This window comes from Homo sapiens, chromosome 7 (assembly GCF_000001405.40).
Source record: "Homo sapiens chromosome 7, GRCh38.p14 Primary Assembly".
NCBI classification, from domain to species: Eukaryota; Metazoa; Chordata; class Mammalia; order Primates; family Hominidae; genus Homo; species Homo sapiens.
In genome coordinates this window covers 96,195,590-96,208,333 of record NC_000007.14, presented here as the reverse complement: position 1 = coordinate 96,208,333, position 12,744 = coordinate 96,195,590, and the positions used below count along the sequence as shown (strand labels likewise).

The 12,744-nt window shown below is 40.3% G+C and overlaps 1 protein-coding gene across 7 annotated transcripts in view; it reads left to right on the top strand.

Annotated features, from left to right (window-relative positions):
- Positions 1–12,744, top strand: part of SLC25A13 (solute carrier family 25 member 13) — a 201,879-nt gene that overhangs the window by 113,765 nt on the left and 75,370 nt on the right. The window lies entirely within an intron of this gene.

The following is a 12,744-nucleotide window of genomic DNA, read 5'->3' as shown; positions in this document are numbered from 1 at the left end:
ATCATAGAATTAAATGGGATTTCCACAGATTTATGTAGAACTCCTCCATGTTTAGAAGGAATACACATTGAGGCCCCGGGAAATCAAGTGATTTTCTCAAGGTCACTTAGATCAGGAGGGGCAAAATTACAACTTAAAATTTTGGCTTGTGACTCGCTGTGTTACTACTTACCAATATTTTGTTTTCCCCTGGAAATGGACAGATTTGTCTTCAGCTTCAGAATCATTTCATCTGACACCTTTTATAGATAAGACACTAGTCTCAAACTTGGCTGCATGTTGGAATCACCTGGAAGCTTTAAAAACTAATGTTGCCTCAGTCCCACCTCTAGAGATTAGATTTAATGGGGGCAGGGGGGAAGCCTGGGTATTTGAGGGCTATTTAAAGCTTCTTGGGTGGCCCTCATGGAGAACCAGTGTGCTAAGGGCACTTGCGCACTTTCTTATGTGGGTTAACCGCTGTAGCAGTTGTCTACATTTCTGGGGTGCACTTTCCCTAACCCAGTCCCTGCTGCCCTTCTCTCGTGACCCCCTTCCCCCACCCATATGATCATATCATTGGGCCACTGATGATGCAAGGAGAAGAGTATTCACAAAATATGATTATAACTTAGTTTTCCTTCAGCAGCATTATTTAAAAATACTTTAAATACAACATTATCATGTAGTCACTAGAGGTCAATATCTATAGGCTATATAGATGTTTATGCATTTGCTTTGTTTCTAACAGTTACATTTTATTTATACTTTATTAAATATGTTTAAAAAGACTCATGTAAGGGGACTCATTTGGTATGTTTACATTTTGGGTCTTGAGGAAAATTTTCAATTCTTTGTTACTAGAAATGTCCTTAGTGGGTATCCTGGTGCCCCTGGCTTTTTCGTGTGTTCCAGACCTTGCCAGAGCCCTCTGGGGAGTGGTTGGAATCCTGTTCTGGGTAGAGGTGGAGGGTGCACGGGTTGTGGTGCTCACTTGGTAAAGATTTTGTGGTGTCCATTCTTAGCAACTAGCATTTGTGATAGGTTAACTTCAATAGGTACTTCTCTTTTTGAATTTTCATGGTATTATTATGATTCATATAATTTGTCCTGCTGTCTAGTTTGCTTTTATTTTCCAGGCCTTTGGAAACATAAACAAGATGCCCTAAACCTGCCTTTGTATTTTTTAAAAACAAAGCGTTAATGTCTGTGAATCCCTGTTTTCAGTTCTCTGTAAACATAAACCTACTTACGTAACTCAGATGGAGAATGTAATGTGAGTTGCCGGATTTTTGCTGCTGTTTCCACAGGACATTGTTGTGCTGTAGGAGGCGGTATTCATTTTGATGAGGAATAATGACAATAATGTTATTGAGACAAATGCCTCAAATTGACTTTATGGAACACAGCCTAATTAACTTTTAGTTTTAATGGGATGTTAGCAGTAGTAAGGATGATCGTGTTTCCTCCTCTAAGCAAGTGTCAATTATACTGAATTGAGTAGATTTTCAACTGCTCACAGCAGCCTCTGGGCCTTCCTCCAGATATGGGGAAGCCAGAGTCCAGGATTAAATAACTCAGGGACTATGGTTATGTTTCCAAACAATTTGTAAGGCATTCACTTAAATTTGACTTATAATGGTAAATGGAAACATCCCACAGTGTCCTATGTGGGATGATTTTGCCTCTGTAGCCAGAATAGAAGTACTGAACTTTTACTAGATTACAATGGTTATAGTGGTGAATGATCTCAGTCAGGGCCTTGCTTTTGTGTCCTAGTCCAGATCCGGACTTATAGGAATTAATGGATGGACCATGATAGGCTTTACCTGAATGCCAGTTTTAATGTCTACCATTGGGTTTCTTCCTTCCTTCCATTTCATGTTTTGTTTGCTTCATTTGAACTCTTTTCTGAATGTAGGTAGAGCTTCAGACCTCTACTTCAGATGCTTTGTTTGCTTCCTTTGGGCTCTTTCTGGATACAGGTAACTTCTTAAAGATATTAGTGAATTTAATCTGCTGTGTTTCAGGCTCTTGCTTTGTCAGGCAGGTATCCGCCTTTCTGTTCTTGGGCAGGACTCAGAAATAGGCACCAACTCCCTGGCTGATGCCAAAGCTGTGAAGGCAGATGCTTGGTTGCTTGAAATGTGAACAAGCTGCCACTGTGCATGCTGCTACCTGTCACATGATGAGGAAGGGGAGCAGCCGTAGGGACAGCCAAAAAGTGCTTGTGATTTCAGGGAACTTGTATGGCATGTAGAGACAGCACTCCTCTATTCCACTGAGGGTCCCTAGAAGATAGCTCAGGTTGGTTCCGGCCAGCACATTACCTGTGCTTATTATGTATGTATATACATGTGTGTGATTGGTGGGGCAGTGCAGTTCTCTGCAGTTCCTTTTTTTTTTTTTGTCACTTAATAAATGTTTTACTATATCTAAGCAAGTGTGAGCTTCTTAGAAACCACCATGTGGCTGTGAGGATCTTACTTGGGTCATGTGTTTATCTGTGTAGAGTCTGGACAGGTCCCCACCCACTAAGGTGTTGGCAGTCCTGGGCATTGCTTACATGGTGAGTTGCTATGTCCTTTTCTGTGCTTTGGTTGTAAAAGTCATAAAGTGGTGAATCAATTTGATATTATTTGAGCTAAACTTGACTGATTTGTACTTTGCAAGTGGTAAATCAATTCGATATTATTTGAGCTAAACTTGACTGATTTGAACTTTGCATCTAGTAACATTGAAGCAAGTGGCAGGGATACAAAGCCTCCTTCCTGTAGTCTTCTTCCTCATTGGAATGGAAAGATTTCAGCAGGGAGTGGGGTCACATTTCTCTTACCCCATTATTTATACTGTTACATCTGTTGCTGCTATTTTTTAATGCCCAGTTAACTTCATCTCCATATAACTTCATGAATGATGGTATGTGTGAATGTGAATACAGTTGTATATGTGGGTAGGTATGTGTATTTTAAAATATTCTGTAAACCTCTCCACGTATGTCTACTCCCAGCTCCTAGAGCAAAGCCTCTAATTTTATAGCCGCTAGTTTTAAAATAGATTTTAATATTCTTTGTATTTTAGAAAATAATTTGGAGAAATTTTTCTATTCTAATCTGATGGAACTGTAATTGATAAATAGTATTAATGGGCTGGGCGTGGTGGCTCACGCCTGTAATCCCAGTACTTTGGGAGGCCGAGGCGGGTGGATCATGAGGTCAGGAGTTCGAGACCATCCTGGCCAACATGGTGAAACCCCATCTCTACCAAAAATACAAAAAAATTAGCTGGACATAGTGGCGTGCACCTGTAATCCCAGCTACTCGGGAGGCTGAGGCAGGAGAATCGCTGAACCCAGGAGGCAGAGGTTGCAGTGAGCTGAGATCAGGCCACTGCATTCCAGCCTGAGCAACAGAGCAAGACCCTGTCTCAAAAAAATAAATAAATAAATAGTATTAACCTAAAACTCGGTATTTTTTGTGTGTCATGATGATTACTCATGTCGGGCAAACCATCCAATTCAGCAAATATTTGCTGAGCATGTCGGGTTTGTCAATAGGATTTTGCAAAGGTTTGAAAGGTGCAGAGACTATAATCTTGAGACACTCATAATGTAAAAATCTAGGACTTGTATCTGGGTATATCCACCTGACAGTGCAAAAGGAGCAACTACAAGTAAGTATAAAATGTTTGCCCTATGAGTTTGTTGTTTTGTAGCAAAAACCCTTAAAGGTTTGTGGCATAAACCCTAATGGCAGGTATTCACATCCTTTGCCAAATTTTTTTTTCCTTTTTCTTTTCTTTCTTTTTTTTGTTTTTGAGACAGGGTCTCACTCTGTTACCCAGGCTAGAGTGCAGTGGTGCATTAGCGCTCGCTACAACTTTGAATGCCAGGGCTCAAGTGATCCACCCGCCTTGGCCTCTCAAAGTGCTGGGATTACAGGCATGAGCCACCGTGCCCAGCCTGCTTTGCCAATTTTTTTATTGGGTGACTGTCGTAGGCACTTGGGGGCACAGAATGAAAGGTTTCTAAAACTTTTCTACCAAATTATTGTGTAGTCAGTACTGAGTCACTTTCAAAAAAGTTACAATAACTAATATCTGTATAATGTTTATAATTTACAAAGTGCTTTTAAATATTATTTCTGATAATAGCATCCTCCCAATAACCTAAAAGGTGATTATCATTATCACATATTGTATGCAAAAGAATAAACCTACTCTATGGTAAAATTTTGCATTTACCAGTAATTTTCCAGGGAAATGGCCCATAGCTTTCATTATGTTTCCAAAGAAGTATCCCAAAAGGGTGGTAAAGAGCAGCTGTTCTAGAGCTTAGCTTCTGCAGTCAGATGACAGGTGTGTGACAAATTCAAGAATACGATGCCGTTCCCACTCTGTTGCACTTTCTCCAGATCTAAGGCTATAGACAGCTATTTTCTGTTCCTAGAAGTTACCATGCATCTGAATGGCAGTGCCCAGTCATGCATTGCTAAACATCTAGCATTCCTGACCCCTACCCATTAATTGCCAGATGCGATCATCAACAAGTTCTTAGGGGTGCATTGTACTGTCATTTCCAGGTTTTTTTGTTTGATACTGTTTTATAATCTTGGGTATCTATTTTACATGTAATTACTTTAATTTGAAAACAGTCTACACATAGGAGTTTCCACTGGTTCCAATCTCAGGATAGAAAAGTCTAGGATTACTACAAAATTCAATATTTCTGTTAACTAGAACAACATTGTTATTAGCTACCTCTCATATAGCATTTTCTAGCTAAGAAAGTTCTTGTATTAATATTTGTCCTTACAGTCACCTTAGGTTGTTGGTGTTGTTTCCCTATGAAAGCTGAGTGAACAGAAGCCTAAAGAAGTTTTCTGGATTTGTTCAAGATTAGACAGGTGGATTTGAAGTTGAAATTAATTTTTCTAAATCTCTGGCAGTTTTTACCCCCCAAATTTTAGTGTAAAAATTATCTGAGATGCGTATTTAGAAATGCAGAGTCCCAGGCCTCTCCACCGACCTCCCCTCCCAAGACTCAAATTTAGTAGTTCTGAATAGGGCCTAAGAAGCTGCCTTTCCAATAAGCATCCTAAATTGCGATGCTCTGGATGGTTCAGGAACCACATTTTGGCAAACTTTGGTCTGGACTAGGCAACCCTGAATGTGTAAAGGTAAACGGCTCTTTATCCTAAGACTAATGGGAAGTCTGTCGAGGCAAACCTCATAAGATTTGTGCTTCAGAAGGATCACTCTACTATTGTGTGGTAAATCTAATGGAGAGGAACGTGACCAAGGAGAGGGAGACCGGTTGGTTGCTTTTTAAGCCAAGAGTCAAACAACTGTGGTCTCAGTTGGATGGTAACAGTGATGGGCCAGAGTAAATGGAGTCAAGAGAACTTACAGGGATAGGCCAGACAAAGCTTCATGATTTAATGGGAAGGGGACAGTCATAGATTTGCAGAACTCAAGGTTGACTCTTGGGTTTTAGCCTTGGGCTAGTGGGAGGATGGTGGTGTTTCATTGAAATAGGGAGTACAAGAAGAAGAGGAGGTTTTAAGGAGGGGCTACAGAGTAGTGCTTTATATGTAAGAGCTGTTCACGTGTGTTGGTGTATTGGCTCTGCTGCCTCTTTTCAATTCTTTGGTGTTGAGATGATTTACTGTAGGACCCTACCTACGGCCCCTGTATAGTTGGGTTTTTTGAAGGAATTTTGTTCTGCACTTTATGTCGCCAGGAAATTTCTTCTGTTTCCAGGGGTCATCCAGCTATTGCTCTAAAAGCATCATCCAGAAATTGCAATGCTCTGAATTGTGGAGAGGCCTGATTTTGAGGTTGTGGATTCCATTCCACTGGCTAGCTAAGAGACAGGATAGCTGACCTGAGAGGGAATGAGGCTAAAAATCCTATCTAATGGCTTCTCATCAAATAGAGTTTAAGAATGAGGTCACCTGACCCAACAGAGAGCTCTAATCACAAGGGCTTGAGTATTTTATCATAGTTTTACTCTGGTCCTCATTTTGTCAGAAGAGGATGATGAAACCCAAAGACATGAATTGTAGTAAATAGAGCTAGGAATAGAACCTGGGGATCAAAGCTGTGTCTGGCATCCCAGACTGGTCATTCATATTAGTAAGGATCCTTGTCCTCAGATCACGAGTCCCGTGATAACCTGGTTGGATGCCAAAGCATACCCATGCTAGTAATGCAACTGAACAATTTTGGTTCTTTTTAAGAAAGCAGATTGACCATTATTTTGGCTTCTTGGTCAGCACAGTGTAGAGGTCAGCCTACTTCTTTTCTGTGTAACATGAACATTTTGGTTATTTAGATCCTGAGCCCTAGAGAGTAGAACTCTAGAAGTCTGCTGCTCCCGGGTGACGGTAGTTGCCAATGTCCCTCTACAAGCCAGAGATTCACTGCTGCTGGTCAGATGTGGTCCTGGCTTTTTCTCACCATCAGTTACGGTTTGCGACTCTATTTGTCATAGCATCCTGGTGTAAGGCAACAATTTCAACACAAGAGGCTATAGGTGTTAAAAACAAAATTGCTACTACCCCCGCCCAACCACCACCAAACAAAACATACCTTCATCCATGGCAACCCCAAATTTTCTAGCTTTAGAATTAATAAGCGATTTCATGTGTTCATAAAAAATAATCGCTTGTAGTAGAACTGGCTGAAGCCGTAATTCTTTACAGATGAGTGGACAATTAACAAGGTCCTTGCTTAGGTTTAGGTTTGAGTAATCTGAGCCATTTGCCTCTCCCTTTTGTCCCCCAACTTGTCTTGTTTGTATTAGTGAAAGTATCTAGACCATGAATTTTTTTTTTTTTTTTTGAGACAGAGTCTCACTCTGTCACCCAGGCTGGAGTGCAATGGCGTGCTCTTGGCTCACTACAACCTCCACCTCCCAGGTTCAAGTGATTCTCCTGCCTCAGCCTCTGGAGTAGGTGGGATTACAGGCTGCCCAACCCCATGCCCAGCTAATTTTTTGTATTTTTAGTAGAGATGGGGTTTCACCATGTTGGTCAGACTGGTCTTGAACTCCTGACCTCAAGCAATCCACTCGCCTCACCCTCCCAAAGTGCTGAGATTACAGGCATGAGCCACCGTGCCCAGCCCGACCATGAATTTTTAGTGGCCCAAGAACCCAGTTGTATTTTCATTTTCACTATGTGAATGCCTTTTATGTTGATTCTAAGTTGTATCAGGTGGGGTCTGTGATGTAGCTTTGGTATTGTTTCATAAACAGCATCATTTGGTGTTCTCAAATGAACTAGTGAGTAGAGCACATTAGTGTTGTTTGCCTTCAACTCTTCCACTAGATGAGATTCTGTTTTGTGTCCAAATGGAAGCCATTGCTAGTTTGGTGATGAGTAACTAGAGATGTGATCACTTGGACAGTAAGATGCAGGACACGTTCCAGCCACAGCACACACTTTCTACTCTCTGGGCAAAGAAAATCAGGATTCATTGTGCTGTTGTGTTTGTGGTGTTAGCTTGCTGTTTTGTTGAGCAGCCTGTTGTGCAGGGTTTTTACAGTAGCATCCTGGTAAAAATGAACACTCTATACAGCATCTCCCCAGCTGTTACCCACTGTGAAGTTTAACGTTAAATTAGAAGAGCAAGGAAATTGAGATGGAAAAGCTCTGTATTTGGTTTCTGCCAAGGTGTTGCAGTGCATGCTGAGCCACATGTGACACTGCTTCCAAAGACCCTTTTAATTAAAGGCCTCACCCAGTGAATTGGGGATGGAATTTCACCCTCAACTCTGACACTGACTGCATGGCCAAATGGGGGGTGGGGGGAGGTACACATAGAACAAAATTAAGAATGGTAACTACTTATCTCTCTACCTATTTTATTGCTATGTTTCATTTTTACTTTGTTAAAAAATATGTGGATCTTCATTTTAATTAGAATGTTTTTCTTCAAATTAGCATAGATTATGAAAATAAAGTGGATATTTATATGCAAACCAGTATACAGGTACTGATATGTGATGTAATATAGAAATTGTTTGGGCTAAATGTGATATGGTATTTTTTAGGCAAATCGTCTTTCTACATTTTTGTTTCCTGTTTCGATAAACAATTAGCTGCATTTTGCCCAGAATTCTTCTATTACCATGTCTAAAAAGGAATTATTTTGAATCATTTCCTTATTAACTCTTTGCTTTTATTAATATTTTAGATTTTGTTAAAATTTCAAAACACAAAAATGCAAATTAACCAGGGTTCAAAAAATATATATATTTATTTTTTGGCATTTTTGGCTTTATAATATAAATCACCTGGCTCTCCTGCTTGTTTTGAGGGACTGGGTTTTTTGGGTTTTTGTTGTCATTGTTGTTGTTGTTCCTGATAAATTGTTCTCAGGCTAAAGCACAAACTTGCATGTCTGAATAGAGATGGAGAGAATATTTTATATTCAAAATATACCTACCTGAAAATTGGAGATTATTAAGGAAATGACAGGCCTGGAACTATTAGAAGCACGAATGTTAGACCTAAAGTAGTGTAACCCCTATATATGTTTATTCTGTACAACTAGCAATTTTGAAGAGTTTGATTTTTTTTTTCTACAGCAGTCTGAATGGGTGTGTTGAAGTAGTTGGAAACTGCTGCAATAAAAGCCTGTTGCATTAATCATCATGCACCAGAATAGAGGGAACAGAAAATAGTTCACTGGCACATATTAAAGAGAAATTGGGCCTCCTTTCATGTACTTGAGTGGAACTGCCTTAGAGATAGCTGCAGAACTCCTGCTCTTGGACCTTCTGGCCTTAGGTGATAGGAAGGGCCATTTGTCTTCAGTTGGTAACTGTCTTCGGCAGCAGCATTTAGTAAGCACCCATTGCCTGGTACTGTTAAGAGCTCTCTTTAGAGAGACACTTCATTTTCTCAGCTCTCTGGATTTGCTACAAGGTTTCAGGCCCTGTGTCTTATTTTCTTTATTCACTTATTTAGGTATCAGTTTGATTTTTGTTGTCTGCCTGCTCTTTGTATGCACTGTGGGATGATCTCACCCATTTCTACAATCATCTTTTTCTTCATCTGGTTTTTGGTAGGTCCCCTCTAAAAGGAACAGGCAGTCTGTGTAGGCTAACATCATGGCTCCAGAAGCCGACTGCCTGGATGCATATTCAGTTTCATCCTTGCCCGTGTCACCCTTGGCTCATTCTTACCTCATTTTTCCATCTTCAGAACAGAGGTGATGGTAGGACCACCTCGGTTGTGGAGAGGATTCAAAGAGATGAAGCAGGGAAAACACAACAGTCCCTGGGACATAGCATGCACTTAATAACTTAGTAAACGTTCTCCTTGTGATGTTTTCTCTAAAATCCTGTTATCTGAATTTCCCAGATCTGTATTTCTACCTGTACCTTCAGCTTTCTTTTGTGTGCCTCTTAACTTTTTGTTTATAACTGAAACTCACTTCATTCCAGGTTTTTCATCATGGTCAACCACCTCATCTCTTTCCCCTTAAGTATTTTCCTTTGTGGTAGAGTATCTTCCCCATCATTCAAAATGTGGATTTTTGAGATATATCTTACTTCATTTATATATTCAAATCATCATCAAAATTTTCTTAAAGTCTCTTTTCCTACCTGTCCAAATCTAGTTATGACCCCCTTATTTATGATTTTGCCTGAGGCAGCATAAGTTAGTAGTTAAGAATCTCAGTTTTAAAAGCTGACATCCCTTGCTTTGGATCTTAACTCTTCCACTTTTTAGTTGTGTGACTTTAGGCTAGTTACCTGACCTCTCTGAACTTCAGGTGCCTCTGTGTAAAATGAAGATAATAATCATTACTTCACAGAAGTATTGTGAGGCTTAAGTGAAATGCTGTCTTTGAAGTTCTTGGCATAGCCCCTGGTCTGTAGTGAGTGTTGAAGCATTCAGCTTTTGTTATCCTCCATCCTGGCTGATGTTCATTTTTCCGTTCCTGTGGCTAGTTCAGAATGATTGAGCAGAACCACTGTTTCATATTGCAAGAGACTTTAGAGGTTTTTAAACCTTTCACCTGGACAAAAATCAAAGCCACTGTTTTTTAAATGCCTGTCATTCATGACCTCTGGTTTTTACAACCCTGCACAGTAGGTGGTGTTGTGCCTATTCTGTAGAAGAAAATCTGAGGCTCTAAGATGCAAACAATCACCTGAGCTCTCCCGGGTGGCAGTGTCATGACTTCTGTTTACGCTCTACCCATGCCTGTTCCAGATTTCTTATTGTCATCATAATGTATGGCTTCCATAACTCCCTCTATTAAAGATAAGGTTAAATTCTTGACATGTGTTCCTCAGCCTATGGTTGAACACGTATTTCTGGTGTCAGGGAACCTGCTACTTTTCAAGGTAGCCCATTTTACTGCTGAATAGTTCTATAGGTTAAAGACTTCTTCTGTGTACTGTGCTAAACTCTGACCCCTATAGCATCTCTCCATTTTTTCAAAAGAAATAGAGGGGCAGCCTAATATTTTTTTTACTTGATAGTCTTTTAACTTTTAAATATGTGAATGTAATGATTACTGCCCATATTGTTCTCCCCTCCTCTGCACAGATGACTCGTTTACTTCTGATCCCCTTCATTTTAGAAATAAATACTATTTTGTATATGCTATATTTCATGCATACTAAAAGCTCTCTGTCTCTGTTTTATCCCTTCTGAGTTGAGATCTAGGAGCTGTCAGTCTCTTGACAACCCATAGTATACATTCAGATTTTCATTAAATAGCTTTTGAGGTGCAAACCAGGAGCTTTGATTTTAAGTCATTCTGCCATGAGTAGTGAGCCTAGTCATTTATTTCAAAGACCACACATTTCTTTCATATTTACGGAGTAACCTATGTGTTAGCTCCCACTGGCCTCCTGATTTAATTTTTTCCTCCTTTGTCTCTTGGGGCTATGGGAAAGAGAGCAAAAAGGGAGTGAGGCCAGGAGAAGGCCTTTTAGATTTGGTTTCTCTCCTCCTTGGTCTCTGCTACTATTGGTAAAACAATCCTGATGCTCTGGGTGTACAGAAGCCCTTTGCCTTAATGGAAAACTTTAGGGAATTTTATTATTTTTCCACAAAAATAGGCAACAGTAAAATCTAGAGCATTAAATGCAAATTGAGTTTTTATCTTTCCACAGCTGTTAAGATTTCTTAGTGTCAAATTTATTTTTTAATCAAATTCCTGACAGTAGCTTTGTCTGAGGTTCCCCATGCAGTTGAGTGAAGTATTAGGAGCATGGGTAGATAGAGGGCTGGGGAGTAGAAATGCTGAGGCTTGAATTCCAGCTTTACTGCTTCCTGTCAGTGAGACTTTAGTTTGCTCAACTGCTATAGTGAGGTTAATAATAGTACCTACCTTATAGGCTTGCAGTAAGCATTCCATGAATTAATTCCTGTAAAATGCTTTACAGCAGTGCCTGCTGCATAATACATGCTTGCTAAGTGCTATTGCATGGTTGTCATACTGGTTGAGGTCATGGTTTCATTTCTTCACCCGGAAGGAGAAACAGTCACGACATAAACAGATGATCTTCAGAAGGCAACCCACGTCTTCAGAATGCTGCTTTTAAAGTTGGAGAGCCACCTAACTGCGTGTTTTCACTCTGTCCTGCTATTTAGAGAACTACATAGATCTAGCATTTTGTCTTCTGTGGAACTTATAATGCCCCCAATCTTTAAGAGCTGTTGGAAATGTATTCTCAGGTTGTTCATCATCAGACTTAAAATAACTTTCTTACTCCAACTTGAGGGGTCCCTGCTCATAGATGTTTAATCATGGAAGCGTGGGCACAGGATGTGTTGTAACACTGTCCTAATCACAGGTATGTCCCCTGTCCTGCTATGTGAGCACCAGCCCCCACCTTGGCATCCATTCCCAATCTGGAATTCTGGACAGGCTGGTCTTAGCATTGTGGCTTCCTGCTTTCTGAGGAGATGGGGTTGCCAGAGAAAGCGGTGCCATTTTTGGTATAATTGTCTGAGGATCTCTAAGATGTTGAGTTATAAACTAGGGAAAATGGTAAATCGCTGAACATACCTTCTACTATTGTTGAGAGTAGTCTTGGCTTAGCTAGCTTTAGCAATGGGTCTGGTAATTCAAAGGAGACTGTTCATTTACTTTCAATTGAATACGCACTGTGGTCATTTTTCACTACAGGGTGTTTAACAGTTGATTTCTTCTTCCTTAATTGGAAGCACTCATATAGAGAACCTCCCATTGTTCAATAGCTCACGATTTGTTCATTCAGTTGGTTTTACAGAATACTTTTCACTGATGAGAATGCCTGTCATTTATTGAGCACCTACTATACATCTAAAGCATTCTGCTGAGCTGCATGTATAAATGTAAGTAGATGCTTACAGGACTTCAAAAGGTTATACTGTCTTTTCCTTGGTAAGGTAGGTGTAAAGGCAGGAATGTGAATAACTGATTATGATGTAAGATCAAATAAGACAAGTTTTATAATTGATATTCAGACAGGGGGCCACCGGAAGGGACATCAGTTATTTCCAGTTATAAGGCCTGGTTATATTTGCCTAAGTGGTACCATTTGAGCTAAGCTTAAAGGAAGTGGCAGGATTTCAGGAGCTGGAGAAAGGGGCAGCAGTCTACACTAGGTGGAAGTAACGATGTGGGCAAAAGCCCAGGTGTGTGGCAGGTCTGGCAGGGGTGGGCATGGGTGATAGGAGATGAGGCTAAGACTAGTTCCTCTGGGGGCTTGTATGCCTTGCTTCAGAGACGGGTCTGTATGATGAAGGGTCA